The 25232-nt window shown below is 40.0% G+C and overlaps 1 protein-coding gene across 4 annotated transcripts in view; it reads left to right on the plus strand.

Annotated features, from left to right (window-relative positions):
- OR1J2 (olfactory receptor family 1 subfamily J member 2) overlaps positions 1-25232 on the plus strand; it is a 132995-nt gene that overhangs the window by 35882 nt on the left and 71881 nt on the right. For 2 of the 4 annotated variants that reach the window (XR_007061271.1, XM_024447516.2), the window contains one exon: positions 19381-19556. The gene's annotated coding sequence lies outside the window, so the exon portion shown is untranslated. Of the gene's footprint in view, positions 1-4283; positions 4442-19380; positions 19557-25232 lie in introns of those variants that run through there. The other 2 variants (XR_007061274.1, XM_024447517.2) reach the window with 2 other exon arrangements.

Raw genomic sequence — 25232 nt, forward strand, 5'->3', positions numbered from 1 at the left:
AGAGCTTTGTAATAATGAAGAACTGAAACAATTAATTGTTCAATAGCCAATAACTAGATAAACAGAAGTTAATTTATTTATGTAATTCTATCCTGCAATAAAAAAGGAATAAACTGTATGCCATATGTGTCTACATAGATAGATATTTAAAAATTAATTTAGGGTTAACATGCAAACTATGCTCGTGTAATATATCAATTAAAACGTGGAACAACACTATATATTATTTATGGGCACATATATGCAGTAAAAGCACAAAAACAAGTATAAAAAGTATTTAAAAAGGTATTAAAAATTTCTTTGTAGTGGTTAACCCTAGAAAAGGAGAAAGCAAAGGGGATATGTGGGATGCACCTTTGGCTGTGCTGATAACATTCTGTGTTGTTTGTTTTAAAGGTCAGAAACAAATGTGACAACATGTCGATGTTTGTTAAATCTGAATGATAAGTACATTAGGTCATATGTTTTACTTCTCTTTATTTTTGAACTAAGTAATTAAGGTATTTCTCTAAATAAAAAATAAATGCTTCTAAGGTCACATTCTCTAAAAAATGTTATTAGTTGAAAAGGGTGAGGTAGAGTGTAGAGAATTAGGTTTGTTCATTAGCAGAAAGGTCAGACAGGAAAAATTTGTCTCAGGTAAACCCAATTTATAATAAGAGTTATTAGTTTGGTGAATGCACTGTATATATCAGTAATATATATATCTTAAAAAGCATGGCTTCATGAAGTAATCAATATTAGGAGCCCATTGTGCCTTCCTCTGTTTTTCTCCATCAATTTCCAAGGTTCTCTTATTTCTATGTTTTCCCACCAGCAGTTACAATAATTTTTACTATTTTTGGGGGTTTTTTGTTTGTTTTTTTGAGACAAAGTCTCGCTCTGTCGCCAGGCTGGAGTGCGGTGGTGCGATCTCGGCTCACTGCAACCTCCACCTCCTGGGTTCAAGAGATTCTCCTGCCTCAGCCTCCCAAGTAGCTGGGACAATAGGCACGCACCACCATGCCGAGCTAATTTTTGTATTTTTAGTAGAGACGGAGTTTCACCATGTTGGCCAGGATGGTCTCGATCTCTTGACCTTGTGACCTGCCTGCCTCGGCCTCCCAAAGTGCTGGGATTGCAGGTGTGAGCCACTGCGCCTGGCGAATAATTTTTACTATTAAATTTAATGGAACTACTTTGGCCAGTCTACACAGCCAATGGGCAGATTATCCTATTGGCCTATGGTAAAGAACAAATCTCCTCTTAGGCCAGGTAGTCAAATCTAAAGAGGTTCTTAACATAAAGACACTATTATGAAGCACAGAATCCATGCTCTGAAAATTCTCTCCCATTTAAAGAAGGGGCAAAAATTTCTGCTGTTCATTCCTACTTAGTCATGAGCTATCCAACAAGAGAAAAAGAAAAAAAAAGTAGGACAAGAAGACAGAGTGTAGGACTAGGTGCGTTGGCTCACACCTGTAATCCTAACACTTTGGGAGGCTGAGGAGAGTGGATTGCTTGAGCTCAGTAGTTTGAGACCAGCCTGGACAACATGGTGAGACCCTGTGTCTACCAAAAATACAAAAAATTAGCCAGGAATGGTGGTATGCGCCTGTGGTCCCAGCTACTCAGGAGGCTGAGGTGGGAGGGTCGCTTGAGCTCGGGAGGTCGAGGCTGTGAGTTGAGATTCTGCCACTGCACTCCAGCCTGGGTGACAGAGTGAGACCATGTTTCAAAAACACAAAAAACAGTGTGCAGAAGCCCCACCATCACTTTCTCAACTGGATTCAAAAGGCAACCATGTCCTACCAGTCCTGGTTCCTCTTCCCCACCGAGTGACAGGAAGAGTGTAAACATGAGCCAACTTAATCTAGTAGGTGAAAATTCATGCCAAATGGTAACTTTCAGTAACTACAGCAAAGTAGACAACTGGCTCCATGTAATATTGAATTAGAATTTCAGCAGAATTAGAATATTTATGAATGCTTTACTATTAATCCCAGAAACACGTGAAAGCTAGTTTGTTACTTAGTCTTAGAGGCTAAAGGCTTTCCGCACAGACTCCAGCACTTTGGACCCAAACTTGACCCCCACATCTTCATAGATTGTAGAAAATGAGTGATAGAACCATGTCTCTAAGTTTCTCACCATTCTTCAGATTATCTGGGTTAGTTTTGTTTTCTAAGTGAACATGTAGTGTGATGTGATTTTCAGAACAACATTGAGCCTTTCCTGTCCCTACCCAAGACATCACCCTCAATAGCTTGCTGATATCTGAAATTCTTTTAGCAAGAGAAAAAGGGCTTTAAGTTTCCAACTAGAGATTAGGTTTCAAGTTAAGTTTTCCTGGGAGAGAGAGCCCTATGGCCAACACTCTAACTCAGATAGAATGGCTGAGAGCAATTTATTTGGGGATCCAGGTTTGGATGGCAGAACAAATGCACTGGCTTTCTCAGACAAAGTGAGGAGACAAGGTTGGAGATTACAGGCAGAATGAAAGCAGAGGCTGCAGACACTGAGAACAAATTTACTATCTTTCCAGTTTGGCTGCAATGACTGCTGTAAGGCTGGGCTGTAGAAATAGTTGAATTGTTAAGAAATCTGATGTAGTGCTTAATTTGTACCAGGTGATTTTCAAATAATATTCACCTGTTCCCACATAAGTTTTTTTTTTTTTTTTTGAGGTGGAGTCTCTGTCACTCAGGCTGGAGTGCAGTGCAGTGGAACCATCTCGACTCACTGCAACCTCTGCCTCCCGGGTTCAAGCAATTCTCCTGTCTCAGCCTCCCGAGTAGCTGGGATTACAGGTGCCCACTAGCATGCCAGGCCAATTTTTGTATTTTTAGTTGAGAGGGGGTTTCACCATATTGCCAGGCTGGCCTTGAACTCCTGACATCAAGTGATCCACCCACCTTGGCCTCCCAAAGTGCTGGGATTACAGGCATGAACCGCTGTGCCCAGCCAATGTAGGCATTCTGATCCTCACTTTGGAGAGGAGAACACTGGGATTCAGTGATGAAACTTGCCCAGTATTATAGCACTAGTATATTGTGAGCCTGGGAATTGATAGCAGGTCCATCTGGCTTCAAAGACTATATTCTTCCCACTCTATTAAAAGCCCTTATTAAATATATCTTCAAATAGGACAATATTTGCTGCCTGAGAGCACTCAAGAATTTCATGAAGTAAATTGGAGAGTTTAAGGATGAATAAAAATCTATAGTTTCAAGATTTGTGCCATGATGGTGATGTCAGTAATACTGATAATAAAAATTAGAATAGCAATCATTCATTAATCACATATTTATTGTGTGAATAATAATATAGGCCAGCTGCTGTGATGCAATTTATATCATATCAGCCTAACAGGATCACAAAATGGCATTATTCTCATCTAACCAATTGGAAAGTAGGGTTTACAGAGTATAAATAATTTGCCTAAAATTCTACATCATGAAAATGATGGGGAGGTCATTCAATCCTGTGTTTGTCTGATTTCAAACTCATGCTGCTAATCATCATGTCGTATTGCCTCCAGCAGAGCATTGATGGAAAAGACATCTGGATATGCACCTGTCATTAAAGAGGTGGAATCTGTAATTTCTTAAAAGCCTTTGCATAGATGTATTGCTTCAGTCTTTAATCAGATGATCAGAAGAGAATAGAGAAACCAGGAAATCAGTTACTGGATTTACGAAGGCAGCTTCCCAGAAAGTAAATTTCTCGGGGTCCCAGGAAAAAAACAAATAAGACCCTGGCCAGTGTTGTTGTTGATACCTATATTCCATCAGTAAGGGAAAGGTTAAGGCAACTATGGTACACATTATTGAAAAGAATATGTAGTCAATAAAATAAATTCATTAAAAGCTTATGATATAATTTTTAAAGGACATAATAGGAAATTGCATGTAGGTATGTTTATAACTATTTATAAAAATGCAGATTATTATTATTTTTTAAACCTTGAAGAATGTGCTCATAGCTGGGATGCAGGCCAGATATTCAGCAAAACTGTGAGAGAACATTTTCCTAAAGAGGAAAGTACAAACACCAGAGAATAATAATAATGATGTCCACCCTAAATTATTTGATGTAATACAAAAATTATATAAACCACCTGGCACATGTGTACTCATCTGCAAGATTTTGGAGGAGATGATTAACACACACACACACACACACACACACACACACAAACTGCTTAATGGAGTCTGTAAGCATTGGTCTTACCTAGTTCAGTGATAAATTCAAATATTGTCAGCTCCTTGGTATGAACCAATCATTCATTTTCTCTCCAAAAGTCTTAGAGCTGGAACAGTGAGAAAAGTCATGAGCTCAACCCTGAAGTGGAGAAGAGGCACATTCTTTGTTTTTCACCAGCCACAAGGCTACAGCAAGAGTATCTCCCTTTACCTGCCTGGATGGGAACCCAGGGGACTGGTGCCAGAAGTCTGTGGTGAGACACAGTTAGGGGCTAATTACTGTATTTCCCTTAATATTCCCAGTTGAAATGTGCCTTTGCCGGACACCAAGGACAGTCAACTCCTATGGGAATATAAATAAGAACTTTTATTATGTACAGATTTTTTTTATTTATAAAGAACTTTCACATCTATAAGATTTTTTAAGCATCACAATAATATTTGATGTAGATAGTATTTTTCCCATTTATTGAGTTTGACAATGTCTCAAAAGTAAATGGTTAAATGAGTATTCAAACATAAACACATTAACTTCAAACCTAAAGCCTGGTTTCATTCTAGGCTTTCTTCCATGTTGCCTCCCTTATATTAGTGAGCTCTATATTTTAAATAATTCTTTTGGGTTTTTTGTTTGTTTGTTTTGTTTTTGTTTTATTTTTGTTTTGAGACAGTTCTGTTGCCCAGGCTGGAGTGCAGTGGCATGATCTCAGCTCACTGCAACCTCTGCCTCCTGGGTTCAAGTGATTCTCATGCCTCAGCCTCCCAAGTAACTGGAATTACAGGTGTGTGCCACCACGTCCAGCTAATTTTTTGTATTTTTAGTAGAAATGGGGTTTTGCCATGTTGCCCAGGGTGGTCTCAAACTCCTGAGCTCAGGTGATCTGCCCGCCTCAGCCTCCCAGAGTGCCTGGATTATAGGCGTGAGCCACCGCTCCTGGCCTATACAGACTTCCTCCTTCCCACATTCAATTTGGAACTGGAAGGAGAGGTGTTACTAGTCCCTGAGGATTAAGAACACTTTTCAAGGACTAGAGATTTATTTTCCTCATGGGAAACACCTGAATACATGCAGGATTTATTTTTGGTTAGTGATGACACATAATAATAGTTGGAACAGACTCAGGGCTCAAAAAGTATTCTTTGACCATAAAAATGAGTGTGAGAATCTTCAGAAACCTGCTACATTCAGGTTGGCAAAAATATAAAAGAGACGGAGAATTAAGTGGAGGAGATTGCTTTTTTCATTATTTCTTTGAATAATTTGTGCATTCATTTACTCATTCAGAAGAATATTGTATAAATATGATGTGGCAAGAATTTTGTGAGGCACTGTAAGTAAAGAAAACACAAGTTTCTTTTTTTAAAATTTATTATACTCTAAGTTCTGGGGTACATGTGCAGAATGTGCAGGTTTGTTATATAGGTATACACATGTCATGGTGGTTTGCTGCACCCATTACCCATCGTCTACATTAGGTATTTCTCTTAATGCTATCCCTCCCCTAACCCCCCCACCCATTGACAGGCCCTGGTGTGTGATGTTCCCATCTCTGTGTCCATGGGAAAACACAATTTTCTGTCCCCAAAGAGTTCCCAATCCATTGAATGAGATCGACAAAACCGTCCACATCAGACACTGTAATGAAGGTAAGAGCCGAGTGCTGTGGGAACACAAAGGGGGGCATCAAACCCAAATTAAAGGCATCAAGCAAGTGTTCTGTGTGGGAAACTTATGAGGGGAGAAGAAAAGACACACACACCATTCCTTTATTCCATATATAAATATATATATATATATTTACACTCGCCAGACTACGGAGGATTCACCACCAGACTGGAAAGCAACAGCCTGGGTTCCAGAGTCAGATACAAAACTCACCAGACTGTGGAGGATTCACCACCAGACTGGGAAGAAACAGCCTGGGCTCCAGAGTCGGCCACTTGTCCGTGCACAGACAAGGAGAGGTTTCATGAAGCTTCGGTGCTAGGGTCTGGGACCCTAGCTCTTTTTGTAAGAAGTTGTTTTGCATGAGGCCCAGTGACGAGGGCCCTTTGCGACTGGGCTCAAGGAACACAAAAAGATCAACTTGTTTTTGCAATTATCTATTGTTTTTCAATAACCAATGTATAGGAATAGATTGAAATAGAGATTTCTCCGAAACAGTGCTGGATGAATGCCTCAAGGGGCTCACACAACCTGTTCCCGGACTTGGTGACCATTGTTTGTGTCCACGTTCAATTGAGTTCAAATTTAATATTTAACTTTTTCTCCACATTGGGCCTCAATTTGATACTCAGTTGTAGGAAAATACCCTTACAGATACATGGGGAAGGCACAGTTGATAGATTACAGATACATGGTAAGCACAGGAGAATTAAAAACGCAATTAATAAAAACCACACCTACGATAGCTTTGCAAGGAGAGTAATATTGTGAGAATTGTCAGGGATAGACACATAACATTTAGTATGCAGTAAGGCACAAACCCCTCCTTGGGCTGTGGTAAGCATATCTAATGCCTCTCGATTTTGCAACACAACAGTGCACGGCTGAGCAAATTCATCTGATAACATAAGTCCAGTGCTACTATCATTAAGAGCTTTTTCTACATGTAAGCTTAATATTTTAATTTGTTGCTGAAGCAGGATTGTACTGGTGGCAGGGGAGAATACTGTGATAGGGTACCATCATCAGGGAGTCTGGCACATTCATAACCAGTGATGTTTGTAAGCATCTAGATTACTGGGGAGGGAATATTATCCCAGATGGTGAATGGAATTAATGGCCATCCCCAAATGCATCTCCCCATCCAATGTGGGGTGGTGAGTGTAAATATATATATATCTCTTTTCCTTTATCCCCTTCCCATTGCAACTTGCTTATTATATCAATTTGCTTATTATATCATTGGCTTGTTATATCTGCATTGCCATTTACGTGGGATAAAGCTTGTTTACCCTTAAAGGTATTTTGTGTGTGTCTTTTCTTCTCCCCTCATGCGTTTCCCACACAGAACAGCAAGTAGGCTTGTAGAAAGTTACAAGTAAGCAGAAACTCAAGAAAATCAAAACAAGTAGAAGGTGATGTCAACAACATAGAGGCAGAGCAGTGAAAGGGAGAGAAACAGAGGAATAGGAAAAGACCTACAGAAGAGAAAGGATGGCAAATTTAGGAAACAATTGTCAGAAAAATTAGAGTGGCTAAAATGTACACTTGAACAGGGGAAGAGGTTCAGGATGAGTCCAGAGAAACTAGAAGGAATAAATCATGCAGGACCTTAGAAGCCATATTGAAGAATTTGCATATTACTCAAAAGGAAAGAAAGAGCCATGGAAGGACTTGATCAGCAGATTGACAATCATACTAAACACAGTTGGTATAGTTCAGGAGTGGATAATGAGCATGTGTTTGCAGTGGGCAGAGGACATGTTGGCAGAGCAGGCATGGGGTAGTGGAATGCAAGACCAGAAGCAAAGAGACTCATTAGGAGAAGATGACAGTCATTTAGGTAAGAGATTATGAAAGTGTGTATAAGAGAGTGACCATGATGTTAGAACTATATTGATTTAAGTCTCCGTAGTCAGAATCTAATGGATATAGTAATTTTGATGTGAGTTGATTTTGATAAGAATGTAGAAAATAAGGAGAACAAAGGAGTTGAAAACCTCTCTAAATTTATGGCTTGGACAGCTGAGTGTATGGTTGTGCTATTCACTGAAGGCAATATAGAAGAAAAAGATTTGAGAAGTTGTATTGCATAGAGTATGAGGTACCTATAGGTCATCCATGAGACAAATTTAGTAGGCAGGTGGATATATTTTGGATAGAGATAGAAATTCATGGACTGTCAACATAGAGGAGGATGAGATTGCCTGAAAACAAATGAGGTTAGTAAAAGCTGAGGAAAAAGAAGAAGGAGGGGAGAGAAAGGGAGGAGAGAAGAGGAAAGGAGAAGGGAGAAAAGCAAGGAAAGGGAAGGGAATAGTTGCTGAGGACAGACCACAGGGAACATTGACAATTAAGATAGTAGCAGAGAAATAAAGCCCCCAAAAGACATCAAATAACAACCAGAGATGGAGAAGGAGAATATAAAAATGTAGAGCCAAGGTTAAGTGCTGAAACCATTCATTGGATTTAGTAATAATGAGGATTTCGGTGACATGACTAGGAGCAATGCAAATAAAAGGTGGGAATGGAATCTAGATTACAGTGCATTGAATAATAAACAGGATGTACACATGGTGGATGGTTAGATTGATTCAACATTGAAGCTTTGGTGGAAGAGTGGGAAGGAAGGACCTTGTGGTAAAGACAGGCAAATTGGTAAGAGAACTATAAACCACGCAGCTCATCCTGAAGAGGTAAGAGTGAAGGCAAAACAAATTTTGGGGAAAAATGAACAGGATCAGAGACTGGATAGATTTATGAGGCCAAATATCCTATATAATGGGTAGGATAAAAAAGAGAGAAAAAAGAATTGAATGTTTAGATTTAACATTTTTTCTTTTTTAACTTTTGTTTTAGATTCAGGGGGTACATGTGCAAATGTGTTACCTGGGCATATTGCATAATGCTGAGGTTTGGGGTATGAATTATCCCATCACCCAGGTACTGAGCATAGTACCTAACAGTTTTTCAACTGTTGCCTCCTCCCTCCCTCCCTTCTTTAACAGTTCCCAGTGTCCATTATTGCCACATAAGTCCTTGACTACCCAATGTTTAGCTCTCACTTATAAGTGAGAACATGTGGTATTTGGTTTTCTTTTCCTGAGTTAGTTCACTTAGGATAATGACCTCCAGCTGCATTCATATTCCTGCAAGGGACATGATTTCATTCTTTTTATGGCTTCATAGTATTCCATGGTATATATGTACCACATTTTTTTATTTAGTCCACCATTGATGAATACCTGGGTTGGTTCCATGTCTTTGCTATCGTGAATAGTACTGTGATGAATATGCAAGTATATTTGTCTTTTTGGTAGAACAACTTGTTTTCCTTTGGATATATACCCAGTAATAGGATTTCTAGGTCAAATGGTAGTTCTGTTTTGAGTTCCTTGAGAAATCTACAAAGTGCTTTCCACAGTGTCTGAACTAATTAACATTTCCACTAACAGTGTATAAACATTCCCTTTTCTCTGCAGCCTCACCGACATTTATTGTTTTTGACTTCATTCCTCTTTACTGATTTTACTATTTGTTTCTCTTGTCTGATTGCTCTGGCTAGGACTTCTAGTACTATGTTGAATAGAAGTGATGAAAGTGGGCATCCTTGTTTTGTTCCAGTTCTCAGGGGGAATGCTTTCAACTTTTCCCCCTTCAGTATAATGTTGGCTGTGGGCTTGTTGTAGATGGCTTTTATTACCTTAAAGTATGTCCCTTATACACCAATTTTGCTGAAGGTTTTAATCGTAAAAGGATGCTGGATTTTGTCAAATGCTTTTCCTGTGTCTATTGAGATCATCATGTGAGTTTTGTTTTAAATTCTAAGTGGTGTATTACATTTATTGACTTACGTATGTTAAATCATCCCTGCATCCTGGTATGAAACCCACTTGATCATGGTGGATTATCCTTTTGTTATGCTCTTGGTTTTGGTTCACTAGTATTTTGTTGAGGATTTTTGCATCTATGTTCATCAGGGATATTGGCCTATAGTTTTCTTTTTTTGTTATCTTTCCCTGGTTTTGGTATTAGGGTGATACTGGCTTCACAGAATGTGTTAGGAAGGATTCCCCCTTTCTCTATTTTTTGGAATAATGTCAGTAGGATTGGCACCAATTCTTCTTTGAATGTCTGATAGAGTTGAGCTGTGAATCCATTTGGTTTTGGACTTTTCTTCGTTGGCATTTTTAAAAATTACCATTTCAAGCTTGCTACTTGTTATTGGTCTATTCAGAGACTCTATATCTTCCTGGTTTAACCTAGGAGGGTTGTATATTTCCAGGAATTTGTTCATCTCCTAGGTTTTCTAGTAAATGAGCATAATGGTGTTCATAGTATCCTTGAATGATCTTTTGTATTGCTGTGGTATCAGTGGTAATAGCTCCCATTTCATTTCTAATTGAGCTTATTTGGATCTTCTCTCTTCTTTTCTTGGTTAATCTCACTAATGGTCTATTAATTTTATTTATCTTTTCAAATAACCAGCATTTTGTTTTATCTTTTGTATTGTTTTTTGTTTGTTTCATTTAGTTCTGCTTTGGTCTTCGTTATTTCTTTTCTTCTGCTGGTTGTGGGTTTGGATTGTTCTTGTTTCTCCAGTTCCATGAGGTGTGATCTTAGATTGTCTATTTGTGCTCTTTCAGAGTTCTTGATGTAGGCATTTAATGCTATGAACTCTCCTCTTAGCACTGCTTTTGCTGTATCCCAGAGGTTTTGATAGATCACGTCACTATTACTCAGTTCAAAGAATTTTTAAAATTTCATTGTTGACACAACAATCATTCAGGAACAGGTTATTTAATTTCCATATATTTGCATGATTTTAAGGTTTCCTTTTGGAGTTGATTTCCAATTTTATTCCACTGTGGTCTGAGAGAGTACTTGCTATAATTTCGATTTTCTTAAATTTACTGAGACTTGTTTTGTGGCCTATTGTATGGTCTATTGGGAGAATGCTCCATGTGCTGATGAATAGAGTGTATATCCTGAAGTTGTTGGGTAGAATGTTCTATAAATATCTGTTAAGTCCATTTGTTTTGCGGTATAGTTTAAGTCTATTGTTTCTTTGTTGACTTTCTGTCTTGATAACCTGTCTAGTGCTGTCAGTGGAGTGTTAAAGTGCCCCACTATTGTTGTGTTGCCATCTATGTCATTCCTTAAGTATAGTAGTAATTGTTTTATAAACTTGGGAGCTCCAGCGTTAGGTACATATACATTTAAAATTGTGATATTTTCTTGTTGGACTAGTCCCTTTATCATTATATAATGTCCCTCTTTGTCTTTTTTAACTGCTGTTTCTTTAAAGTTTGTTTTTTCTGATATAAGAAAAGCTATTCTTGCTTGTTTTTGGTGTCCATTTGCATGGAATATCTTTTCTACCCCTTTACCTTAAGTGTATGTGAGTCCTTATGTGCAAGGCGAGTCTCCTGAAGAGAGCAGAAACTTGGTTGGTGAGTTCTTATCCACTCTGCCGTTCTCTATCTTTTAAGTAGAGCATTTAGGCCATTTACATTCAATGTTAATATTGAGATATGAGGCAGTATTCTGTTCATCATGCTATTTGTTGCTGAATACTTGGTTTTATTTTCATGGTGTTATTGTTACGTAGGTCCTGTGAGATTTATCCTTTAAGGAGATTCTATTTTGGTGTATTTTAAGGATTTGTTCCAAGATTTAGAGCTCCCTTTAACAGATCTTGTAGTACTGACTTGGTAGTGGTGAATTTGCTCAGCATTTGTTTGCCTGGAAAAGATTGTATCTTTCTTTCATTTATGAAGCCTAGTTTTGCTGGATACAAAATTCTTGGCTGATAATTGTTTTGTTTAAGGAGGCTAAAAATAGGACCCTAATCCCTTCTAGTTTGTAGGGTTTCTGTTGAGAAATCTGCTGTTAATCTGATAGGTTTTCATTTATAGGTTACCTGATGCTGTTGCCTCACAGCTCTTAAGATTTTTTTCTTCATGTTGGCTTTATATAACCTGAAGACTATGTGCCTAGGTGATGATCTTTTTACAATCAGTTTCCCAGGTATTCTTTGAACTTCTTATATTTGGATGTCTAGATCTCTACCAAGGCTGGGGAAGTTTTCCTTGATTATTCCTTCAAATATGTTTCCCAAAATTTTAGATTTCTCTTCTTCCTTGGGAACACCAATTATTCTTAGGTTTGGACATTTAACATAGTCCCAGACTTCTTAGAGGCTTTGTTCATTTTTTAAAAATTATTTTTTCCTTGTCTTAGACAGATTGAGTTAATTCAAAAGCCTTGTCTTTGAGCCCTGAAGTTCTTTCTTCTGCTTGTTTGATTCTATTGTTGAGACTTTCCAGTGTATTTTGCATTTCTCTATGTGTGTCCTTGATTTCCAGAAGTTTTTTTTTAAAATGTATGCCATCTATTTCACTGAAGAATTTTCCTTTCGTATCCTGTATCATGTTTTTGATTTCTTTAAGTTGCACTTCACCTTTCTCTGATGCCTCCTTGATTAGCTTAATAATCGAACTCCTGAATTCTTTTTCTGGCAATTCAGAGATTTCATCTTGGTTTGGATCCATTGCTGGTGAGCTGGTATGATCTTTTGGGGGTGTTAAAGAACCTTGTTTTGTTGTATTACCAGCATTTTTTTCTGGTTCCTTCTTGTTTGGGTAGACTATGTCAGAAGGAAGATCTGGGATTCAAGGGCTGCTGTTCAGATTCCTTTGTCCTACCGGGTGCTCCCTTGATGTGGTGCTCTCCCCCTTCCCCTAGGAATGGGGCTTCCTGAAGCCAAACTGTAGTGATTGTTTTTCCTCTTCTAGGTTTAGCCATGCAGTGGAGCTACCAGGCCCTGGGATGGTACTGGGGAGTATCTACAAAGAGTACTGTGATTTGATCTGTCTTCAAGTCTTGCAACGTGGGTACCAGCACCTGCTCTGGTGGAGGTAGTAGCAGGGAATGAAGTTGACTGTGTGAGGGTCCTTGGTTGTGTTTTTATTTAGTGTGTTGGTTTTGTGTTGGTTGAACTCCAGCAAGTAGGTGGTGCTTTCAAGAGCACATCAGCTGCAGTCCTATGGGGAGGATGCAAACTTGCCCTAGGGACACCTAGTTAAGCATTCAGGTTTCTCAGGTGGGCAGGGCCATAGAGCTACCAAGAGATTATGACCTTTGTCTTCAGCTACAGGGTGGGTTGAGAAAGACCACCAGGTGGGGGCAGGATGGAAGTGTCTGAGCTTAGACTGTCCTTGGGTGAGGCTTGCCGCGGCTTCTGTGGGAGTCGCAGGTGGTTCCTAGGCCAATGGAGTTATATTCCCAGGGGGATTATGGCTGCTTCTGCTATGTCATACAGGTATGAATCCCAAATATCTGAGACGGTCTCAGTTAATTTAGAACATTTATTTTGCTAAGGTTGAGGACATGTGCCTGAGACACAGCCTCAGGTAGTTCTGATGACACGTGCCCAAGGTGGTCAGAGCACAGTTTGGTTTTATACATTTTAGGGAGACATGAGACATCAAGTAACATATGTAAGATGAACATTGGTTTGGTCTGGAAAGGTGGGACAACTCAAAGCAGGGAGGGGGCTTCCAGGTCATAGTAGATAAGAGACAAATGGTTGCATTTTTTGAGTTTCTTATTAGCCTCTCCAAAGGAGGCAATCAGGCATGCATTTATCTCAGTGAGCAGAGGGGTGACTTTGAATAAAATGATAGGCAGGTTTGCCTTAAGTAGTTTCCAGCTTGACTATTCCCTTTAGCTTAGTGATTTTGGGGCCACAGGATTTATTTTCCTTTCACACAGGTCACCAGAGAAGTGGGGGAAAGCCGGCAGGTGAGAAAGACTCACCCTGCTCCCACGCAGCATGCATCCTAAAGGCCAGTCTTACTCACACCATGTCTCCTTCCCCCCTGTACATCCCGACAGCACTGAGTCTATTTCCAAGCAGCAGGTGACCAGGGCTAAGAACTTTCCCAGACCACAAGCCTTCCTGTTGAGAAAGCAAGCAGACTCACAGTTTTTTGGCATCTCAGGGAGCCTGCAGCAGTGATCCAGTTCCTTCAAAGGGTCTGTGGATTCTCTTGACTTTCCTGGTATGTTCTTGTAGATAGTTCTTGGAACAAAATTTCAGGATGTGAGTCCCCACGTGCTTCTCTGTCCATCAGAGTGGGAGCTGCAAGTTAGTCCTGCCTCCTATCTACCATCTTCCTCCCGATATTGGCCTATTCAGTGTTTCAATTTCTTCCTGATTCAATCTTGGGAGATTGCATAGTTTCAGGAATTTATCTATTTCCTCTAGATTTTCTAGTTTGTGTGTGTAGAGGTATTCGTAATAGTCCCTGAGGATCTTTTGTATTTATGTGGGATTAGTTGTAATGTCACCTTTGTCATTTTTTATTGTGCTTATTTGGATCTTCTCTTTTTTTTGTTAATCTAGCTAGTGGTCTATTGGTATTTTTTATTCTTTCAAAGAACCAACTTTTGGTTTCATTTATTATTTGTATGCATTTTTGGGTCTCAGTTTCATTCAGTTTTGCTCTGATTTTGCTTATTTGTTTTCTTCTGCCATCTTTAGGGTTAGTTTGTTCTTGTTTTTCTAGTTCCTCTAAGTGTGATGTTAGGTCATTAATTTGAGGTCTTTCTAACTTTTTGAGGTAGGCATTTAGCGCTATAAACTTTCCTGTTAATACTGCTTTTGCTGCAGTGTTTGTGGCTTTCCAGAGATTTTGGTATGTTGTGTCTCTATTTTCATTTATTTCAAAGAATTTTTTTATTTCTGCCTTGACTTCATTGTTTACCAAAAAGTTATTCAGGAGCAAGTAATTTAACTCTCATGTAATTGTGTGGCTTTGAGAAATCTTCTTGGTATTAATTTCTATTTTTATTCCATGATGGTTTGAGCATATGATTGGCATGATTTGGGTTTTTTTTTTTTTATTATTGAGATGTGCTTTACAGCCAAGCGTGTGGTCAATCTTGGAGTAGGTTCTATGTGCAAATGAGAAGAATGTATATTCTGTGGTTGATGTATACCTCTCTAGCAATATTAGAAAAGTTTTCTTGAATTATTCCCTCAAATATATTTTCCAGGTTGTTTGTTTGTTTTTTTCCTTCTTCCTCAAGGATGCCAATAATCCATAGGTTTGGTCACTTTATGTAATCCCAAGGACTTTGCTCATTAAAACAAATTTTTAAAAATTATTTTTTCTTCATTTTTATTAGACTAGGTTGATTCAAAAACCTGATCTTCAAGCTCTAAAATCTTTATTCTGCTTGGTCCAGTCTATTGATGAAGCTTTCACTTATGTTTTGAAATTCTTTAAGTGAGTTTTTCAACTCCAGAAACTCCGACTGATTTCTTTCTAAGGGGTTTATCTCTTCTTTCATTTCCTGGATAGCTTTAGAAGATTTTTTGTGTTGATTTTCAACCTTGCCTTGAATCTCATTAAACTTTTTTGAAATCCATCTTTGAATATTTTATCTGTCATTTCTGAGATTCCATTTTGGCTAGGGACCTCTGCTGGAGATCTAGTGCAATCCTTTGGTGGTGTCACTACATTCAGATTTTTCATGGTGCCAGAATTCTTGCACTGGTTCCTTTTCATCTGGAGATGCTGGCACTTCTAATTTTTGTGATTATTTTTGTGCAGATAGGATTTTTTCCTTTTCTTTCTTTCCCGTTAATGTTATTATTTATTATTTCCCTTTTCTCCTCTCCCCATGAGGTGTAACTGTAGAGAATACTGGGGGGTAGGGTATTTTGGCATTGCTTCTGTAGCTCCATGTGCTTCTTTTGGCAGATTTTATATTGGGCTGTGCAGTTCATCCCACAAGCCTATAGATGGCACTATAGGTAACAGCTGGCTGCAGCCAACAAGGTTGGGTCTGTACTTAATCCTTGTTTACTGGCAGAAGCTCCCTCTTGCCTCAGGCAATGATCTGATTTGAGGAATGCACAGTAGTCTGAGCTCCCTGCCCAGGCCTGTGGGTTGAGCCATGAAGGACAGGGCTGGACTGGGCAGGTTTACCTGCGGGTCCCTTGATGGCAGGCGTAAGAACCAATGCCAATGGAGAATCCAGTGGGTGGCCACCAGGATCCCAGAGGTGTGTCTAGGTGTGGAGCAGGGAAACCTCCTTAGTTCCAGGTTCTCTGCATGGGGACAGGGGGCTGCCTAAGCTTTTAATCCAGGAGAGTAAGGGCTCAGATCCCTGGAGATTTGCCTGGCATGAAGCAGAGGGGAACCCCCTAAACCAATATCTCTGCACAGGAGGGATGTGGCATCTCAGGCCGCTGAACCAGGCAAACAGGTGCTTTGAATGCCTGGAGATCTGCCTGGGCATGGATCAGAGAGAGCCCCTGTGCACCAAGATCTCTGCACAGGAGGGGTGGAGGCAACTCAGGTTGCTGGATGAAGCAAGAAGGTGTTCTGACTGCCTGGAGATCTGCCTGGGCATGTAGCAGTGGGGTCTCCCTGCACCAGGATCTCTGCACAGGAAGAATAGGGTGGGTCAGGCTGCTGATCCAGGTGAACAGGTGCTCTGAATGCCTGAAGATCTGCCTGGCTGTGGAGAAGGGAAGAGCCTCGCTGCACCAAGATCTATGTCCAGGAAGGGTTGGGCAGCTCATGCTGCTAGTCTGGACAAACAGGGACCCCAAATGCTTTGTTTTCTGCCTGGAAGTGGAGCAGAGAGGGCCCTGCTGCACCACGATCTCAGGGGAGCAGGGTGGGGCACCCATCAATGGCACACATAGATCAGTTTCAGGGCACCAAGCTGGCCTTGGCTGCAAGTGTTGCTGCCCAGGAGAAGCCACAGCTGTAGCAGCTCTCCTCCCACTGCAGGCTTGCAACAGGAGCACAATTATAGCACCTACTGCTGAAACACTTTCCATAGTTCTGGCTGTAGAGGTCGTTACTGTGTTCTAGAGCAGGTGCTCCAATTTCTGGCCTTAGACTAAAATGCTTGCACAGCCACACTGTCAAAGAATAGCTGACTTTGTATGCACTTGGATTAAAAATGGCATCCTGCTGTCAGTCCTGGGTCTGGGAAAATGTCTGCAGTTTTTTTGGTGTGTTTTCCTCACAGTGTCTCCAAGCTTCTCCCCAAGTTAACTCCAGGGCTTGAGAGAAGCAAAATTGTCTCTCTCAGCCTGGGTTGCTCAGATCTCCAGTGGATAGGGGAGTCACAGAGGGAGGCTCTCTGCCTCTCTCACGTACTGGAGCTTTACTCACTTTTAGCAGCTGGATGCAGTCACAGGGTCCATTTGCCAGCATTCCCCTCTCTGGGATCTGGGGTGTGCTTCATGATTCTGGTGGATTCTCATTTTCCTTCTTGAATTAAAGTGCACAGAGTTGATCTCTATGTACTATCTTGCTATTTCCAAGTGGCTATGGCACTAGATTTAACATTTTTTAGGTAAAGGAATTTCCGATTTCATGATATGGCCATGAGAAAAGATGACTAAACTGCAAGGGAGGTCAAGGTCATTGAAGATGAGGTCAAAGACTAAAGCTGTTATGACGGTGAATGGTTCACTTAAGCAAATGTTGAAGGCACTCAAGTTGATAGCTAATTTGTAGGGGAGAAGTCAACTGTGATCTAGGTGCCACCATCTGTAACAAAATAGGAGTCACTGAAGTTTGATCGTTGATGGTATAGGCTTTGACTTTTGAAAGTTTCTACAGTTTTGCTCAATACTGAAAAAAACTTTATGCAGAAAGATGTCTAATTACAGCATAATTTTAAGAGATAAGAATTAGTTACAAACTAGTTTCCGTGAATAAGGGAAAGGTTAAGGGAACTATTATACATATTCATTGGAAGTAATATTACATAGTCATTAAAATGAGGTTTATGAAAAACATAATTTTTGAAAGAACACAATAAAAATGATATATAGGCAGGTTTACAGTTATTTGCGAAAGGCAGATTATTATTTTTTAAAAACCTGCACATGCTCCAAAATGTTAATAAAAGCTATATTTTGCTGTTGGGATTAGAGGCATTTGTGTATTTTAAAAATATTTGTCTGCCATCACATTTATATAATCATGTTTTTCTTTTATAAGTAATAAAGACATTGGACAGTTTTGTGAACCGTTGTTGAATTTCATAGGAAAGACTATGGTCCAGGAAGAAAGTTTGTCCAAGGGTTGACAAAATTCAAGAAGAAGAAGGCAGCTGCCCCTGTAGACACTACTGCTGTGTCTTCTTGGTCTTTGTGCTGATTGCTCTTCTCCCAATCACCACCCACCACAGGCATTAAGCATCCTCACATAGGACCCTGAGAATCAAGGCACAAAACCTTCAATGGACAAGTTTCCGAAGCCTCAGGGAACAGTTCCTCTCCTCAAAATAACCTTCAGCCAACAAGCACATGCTTATTCCTACTATAAAACAGTTTATATCTTACTGCTATATGAGGCCTTAGCCCTTCTTAATACGTGCCGAGAGAAAAGAAAGTAAGATTTTTTTTTTCATTCACTCCTGAATTTTTAGACTTTAGTGTTGGGCACATAGAGATCCACTTAAAAATGTTTACTGAGTTACAGAGAATGAAAGAACATTGTTTCCTGACAAATAGCCAATAATAAAAAATTATTATTAAGTTACAGAAGTTTAGTTTGTATTGCTCCAGAAGTCAACTCTAAACCAAGAATTAAGGGCAAGTCGTTTATTTGAGAATCAAAGGAAACAGCAATAGGAGAGTGGGAAAATAAGACAGGGAAAAGTGAGGAGTAAAGGAGGTCAACAAAATTATCACCTGGTAACTGAAGCTGATCCCACTGAGAAAACACTAGACTCCAACACACCTCAGATTTTTCCACCCTGCAGGTGAGTGAGCTGGGGGATTCATGTATGAACTCCTGTCTGTTTGTAACCGAGGACTGATGGATATGGTAGTGGTGGATAGACAGAACAAATTCTCCAGCACTTCTAGCTTGCTATCTGTGTAAACAAACTGGGCTCCAGTGGCCAGAGAAAACCCTTAAGAAAGGAAATAAAAATTCTGATAGTTGAAGCTCTGGACAGAATGCACTGAAGCAGTAAGGTAAATAGTTATGAGTGGGGAGTTCTCAGAGTCTGTGACATTCACGTCCTTCATTGTTCAGATCCATTCATGTCTTATTACAGATTCTTGCAGATGGTGGCCAACCTAATTTTCTTTAAAAAAAAATCACCAGAGAATTAGATGGGTGTAATGCAATTTATACTGCTTCAGTTGGTCTCAAGGCTGCAACTTAAATTCACCATCTCACTTCTCCACCATCCATCCTTGATTCCCCTTACTTTGTTCATTAGAACACGTACCTTGTTCCAGGATGCTTGTCTGGAGGAATCACGCAGACCTTCATCTCTGAGGATGCTGAGGCCTTGGAAGATCATGGTTGCTGCAAGAGCAGCCAATGGGCATGAAAACACCAAAAAGTGTTCCAGTGAATCCCTAGAATTCCAGACGTTTCTCTGCCTTCATTATGTAGCAGAACCTTCTCATGATAAGTTGTTAAGTAGGGTCAAGTAACCTGCCAACATAGTACTTTTTTTTTTTTTCTGCAGGTCTACTAACAGAAGGAATTCAAATGATTAAGGAGTAACCATATCTTTAGGCTTAGTGGAATCTTTACTGTGTTTCCTGGTAGGAGTATCCAGGATCTGGAATTCCAGTTCAGCAGAGCAAAAAGTTCAAGATACCAGAAACATAAATGCCTCCAAGACAGTGATCAGGAAGTATGGTAAGAGGGGCCACTCCTTCCACTTTTCAGTTCCTAGTCTAAATGCATTCTTCTTATGGAGGACCTAATACCTTATAATGGTCATTGGTTCAAAGAACATATTGCATCTTGAAGAATAGTATTCCAACCCTCCAGGAGATCATCTACAGGTGGTTGCCTTAGTTGATGTTTTAAGAGGACATTCCAATATTCTGTCAAACCAATTTAAGTGATGTGGTATATGATAGGAGCAAAGAGCTTTATAGCTGTATATGCATTGTACCACCTCCTTCACAATGTGAGATGATGTCATGTGGGATATGATGATAAATGAGATCTTGAATAGTGGTAGTGGCTAAGGCATGGCGGAGGGAAAGGAAAATCCAAAACAAGAGTATCTGAAAATCCCAGTGAACATGAATCATTGCACTCAGGTCTGAAAGGTGTTGAATGTAATTAACTTGTCCCAGTAACCATTTGGTCCCCCAGAAGAATAACAACATATTGAGGGCTCAGCATTTGTCTGAGCTGCTATTAGGTTAAACATTCAGCAGTGGCAGCAGCTAGTTCATCCATGGTGAGAGGAAGTCCATGCTGTTGGACTCATGCATAGCCTCTACCTCCACGGCCACAGGAACTTTACTGATGGATCCATTGTACACCACATTGGTGAAGGACAGAATGTGGTTAACCACCACTGGATAAATAATATTATTAATCTTTTTGTTCAGTGTCTTCTCTGAAGTGGATGCTCTCTGGTAGGCATTGACATAAGATATAAAAACCCATGTACTTTGTGTCCAGTCTCATAGGTTCATCCACTTTATTTTTCAAAAATACTCTATCTCTGAACTTCCACTCTTACTCCCTCCAGGCCCCTGACAAACAACTAAGTCATTCACCAACACCAAAGAATCCATGCATATCTTTACCGCAGGCCATTTACACAAGATATGACCAGGTATACTGCACAATAACTTTTTGAGCAGGGAGTATTTCCCTTGATCACAGTTGTTTAGAGCCACCCTGATCAGGTCTGAACTGGAACAGAAGTCAATTTTTAGCTCCCACAAACATATATGGCCAATCCGTCTATGAACCAAGCCCAGGACTTTTTGTCTCTTTTTCAATTAGTTGTATGGAAATCCTCATGAGGCCATAGGTAAGGGCTGAGGGACAGACTTCAATACAACGTAGTTAGATGATCTGGGGGCCCAGGCTACCTGTTTCTGAAGTTTACTGTTGCTGTCCAGACCTACTAAGGCCCCATGCCAAATTTGCTGCTGTGTCTATCTGACCTTACAACTTTTTGTGCCTGACAATTCTCAGGTTCTGTCACTGGATGTCGCATGGTTAGGCACTCTGCTCTGCTAAAGCCCAGTAGCTCCGTAGCAGTTCCTGGCTCCAGAAACACTGCTTTGCAACTCTTCTATTGGAGTTTACCAGAGGCTCCATATAATGCCACTATCTACCATGGATACCTCTACCACCATGAGTTCTGCCCATTCAGATGATCCAATTAGCATGGTCCCTTGTACCACTGTCTGAACCAGCTGCAGAATCTTATCTTGTTCTAGAGCTTACTTAAAGCTGGAAGTTTATCTAGTCATTTGATAAATTGGTCAGAGGAGTATTATAAATGTGATGTGTGCTGTCTTCAAAATATGAAGAGGCCTACCAAATGCTGTGCTTTTTTCTCAGTGGTAAGAGGTGTGAGATATAATAACTTGTCCTTTGCTTTCCAGTGAGAATCATGTTTTTCACCAGTCCTACTTTAAGTCCCCTTGTGACCACATACATGTCATTTCTCTGTCTGTAATGCGTCAGACTTTAGTCCAAGGTGTCTCCATCTGATCTATTGTATTTCAATCTGTCCAAACCCACCACAGGTACCTTTGTCTTTGCTTTACAGTCTACCCTGTCTATACTGCTTGCTTTCATAGCTTCCTGTATCTGGCATCTGAGCTCCCTGCATCCTGTATCTGACTGTGTCTATTCAATCTGCCCACTTGCCATACAATGGAGTTGTCCTTCCCAGTGCACCAAGTGTCTGGCGTGTCCTTCCCAGAGCATCCAGTTCCTATAGCTAAACTATCTTACAGCCCACTTTGAGTTTGCTAAGCTGCTACTGGCCAATATTCTTTTAACCGTCTTCCCTGGGTTTTGCCTAGAATGCTGTTGGACTTCAATGATACTGAGTTGACAGAGTCTCCAAGTCCTTCTGCTCCAAGTTATATAAAGTTGTGGTAGTAAATACAGGGTCATCACACCTAGAAAGAAGCTGCCCGCATATAAGCTCTCTCAGTCTGTTATCTGTTGTTATAACTGAATACCTGAGACTAAGTAATTTATAAAGAAAAAGAATTTATTTCTTGCAATTCTGGAGACTAAGTCTAAGGTCAAGAGGCTGCATCTTGTGAGGACCTTCTTGCTGGTGAGGACTCTGCAGAGTCTTGAGGCAGTTCAGGGCATCACATAATAAGGGGACTGAGTATGTTAGCTCAGGTTTCTCTTTCTCTTCTTACAAAGCTACCAGTCTCGCTGTCATGATAACCTATTAATCAATTAACCCATTAATCTATGAATGGATAAATCCATTCATAAGGGCAGAGCCCTCAAGACCCAATCACCTCTTAAAGGGCCCACCTCTCAACACTGACACATTGGGGATTAAGTTTTAACATGAGTTTTGAAGGGGACAGACATTCAAACCATAGCATAAACTTTGCTTTATCTATGATGTCTTAGACCTAGATATGAAAAAGGCCAAAATAAATCCTCAAACATTATTATCTCAAGCTATAAATACTTCTTTATTTGTCCTATATCCCTATATATTTCACCCCTAAGAATCACGATTGGCATGATAAATGACCATTTTCCTCAAAAGATCAATTTCAGAGAACCTGAAGCTTTTCAATTTTGAGTCATTTTTTCTAGATTTTGCGTGTCAACTTGTTTTTTTTTTCTATTTGCAAGTTTGTTTTCTTTTGTTTTTGTTCATTTAGTTTTCTTTCCCTTCTCTTCCTTCTCTCCTTTTTTCATTTCTTCCTTGAAAACTATTTTTATTTGATATAACCATACCTAAGTTTGTCAATGAAACAATAAAACCTCGAAAAAGATGATGATCTCTGCCTCTTTCTCCTTCTGTATTTCCTCATGTTCACCGGAGAGAAGAAACACAAGTCACTTCCTTTGGGCTACCTGATGAGTAGGACTCAGTAAGATCCCTTGGAGTGGGATATGGTTCTACCTAAATTCTCAGAGCCCAGCAGTCATATGGATTTCTTCTATTTAAACATGATTGGAGTCAGTATTTTTTTTAACCTCCCTAGGATTTATCCAAAGTGTGATTAAGACTAGAAAAACAGAGGGTAGAACAGAAGAGAGACTGAGGGTACTTTGAGATATTTTCTTTGTGTACTCACCCTCTAACGTTCCCAGGACAAATATCCTCCCACAGAATACCTTTCCCAGTGGAATCAAGGGGAAAATTGGACAATTAATCCATGTTTTATGGATATCTTTAACTGGAGATTACCAGTTCAATCTCCTACTCCCTAGAGTTTTCTCCTTAGTTAAGCTCTTCGATTCACAGCTCTGGGGCTGTAAACAGGAATGAGTTTGTACTTGTAGCTTTTATTCTTGGTGTCTGAGAAATGTCTAGAATCTTGGAAGCTGGTTTTTAGATCCCATAATGAGAACCTTAGGAACACTTATCCACCAAACATTGGATCATAAATGCAGGGAAGGTAAGCACTGGAGATGGAATGGGTATTTTTTCCCTCTCAGCAATAGATGAGTTTATAAGTGCATATAGACGAGGAAGAAACAGAAGGCAGCAGTTGGCATGGGGAGAAGAGATAGAATGTAAAAAGACACACACAGAGAGACAGAGGAAGAGAGAGAAGGAAGGAACAGAGAGATATTGAGTGGCAGACATAGACAGGATGAGAGAAAGGGGCAAAAGGAGAAAAAGATGAACGAAGAGAGAGACTGACATACTGGAGGAATATTTTTCTGCCTTGGATCCTGACATAGAAAACCAGATCTGAACAGCAAAGAATCCAAGCATTCCAAAGTTGTTTTGGTGTTTAAATCAGGAATTTTGGGAAGGCCTCCTACACTTCCAAAATGTGTCCTTCATTGGCTATAAAAATTATTCAACTGCCAACATTTGGGATAATTTTTCTTTGATGACAAGCATATTCCTCTCTGTTTACTCAGGACAACACAAATATGGTGCCTTATCTGTGGTAGGTTTCAAGGGTCTGTTTGTTGAATGAATGCATGTGCCTTATAAGGACAAACGTCTCTCCAAAGGAGTCACTTGTTTAGTTCCTGATGTTTGCTTGTGTCAGAACTGTCAGATAAGTCGTGACCTTTGAAGCAATCAGAGGGCACCTGAAGATGAAAAGAAGAATGGAGTTAAAAAGGGTCATTAAAGGGGAAAATACTTAGGAGGCTGGGATTAGGGTAAACAAAGTCATCTCTTTATATCTTGCTGAACACTCAGTTATCCTCTTGCCATTGGCTTTGAGTCTTGGTAGGCTGCTGAAGGACTGGCACTTGGCTGCCTTATAAATTATCCAGCTTATCCCCAAATACAGTCTACACCAAGGCATTGCATTCAGCTGCTAGGCATCAGAATATAAGCTACTTATGTGAGAACGAGCCTCTCTCCTGAATTTCCCTTTTGTTTTCCCTCCCTGGTAAGTAGTGCCTGTTTCTCACTTGTCTGAATGAGAACTCCAGCAGTAGAATGATCATTTTCCCCCTGTGCTCATATGTGTTCTATGTTTGTGCTCTTGGTTTGCCAGCAGTTTGTATACTCAATTCCACAACTTTGTCTAAGGAATCCACACCCAGAGTCCAGCAAAGGAATTAATATGAATAATTTTCTCCTGCGTGTAAAAGGACGTAAATTCCTCTGGCTCCTCTCTGGGTAGATTTGCATTTTGTCTTTAATTGTGGCAGGAGGGAAACCAATATTTGCTGAGCACTATGCAAGCAAATGTACTAGGGGTTTCAAATATGTCATCTCACTTCATCTTACAAAAACCTTATGGGGTATAATTGCATCCTGTTTAAAGATCTTCATCTTTCTGAGATTCGCAAGAGTTAAGAGACCTGCTATGGACAAAAATGCCACAACCAAAGTTTTATGATGACCAAGCCTATCTTATTCCAAAATCTGTGGCTTTTTCTCTAGTCTCACATTGCCTTCAAAGTGGGAGTAGAGGACAGAGAGGGAGGGAAGGAGGGAGAGTGAGGGGGGGAGAGAGAGAGAGGGAGAGAGAGAGAGAGAAAGGAGAAGGAGAAGAAGGAGAAGGGGAAGAAGAAGAAGAAGGAGGAGAAGGAGGAGGAGGAGGAAAAGGAGAAGATTAGGAAAAGGAAGATGCTTGAGCCTAGCACACTTGGAACACTGTGTTTACTGACCTCAATATGTATGTTAGGGTGGGGATGTCTTTAAGGAGTTAGGTTGAGGTCTATATATAGCTAGATTTAAAAACTGAAAGATTTGAAACCTGCCACCGACTTGTCTTCTGCTGAATTTTTGCTCTAGGCCAGAAGCTCATTGGATGGATAAGAGCCCTCTCTAACTCTCTGCCTTTTCTTATTAAAGGAAATTTTATTAAAGGAATATTCCTTATTAAAGGAATATTGAAATTTGTAGGAGAGGGATGGCATAGAGTC

This window comes from Homo sapiens, chromosome 9, assembly GCF_000001405.40.
Source record: "Homo sapiens chromosome 9, GRCh38.p14 Primary Assembly".
Taxonomy (NCBI): domain Eukaryota; kingdom Metazoa; phylum Chordata; class Mammalia; order Primates; family Hominidae; genus Homo; species Homo sapiens.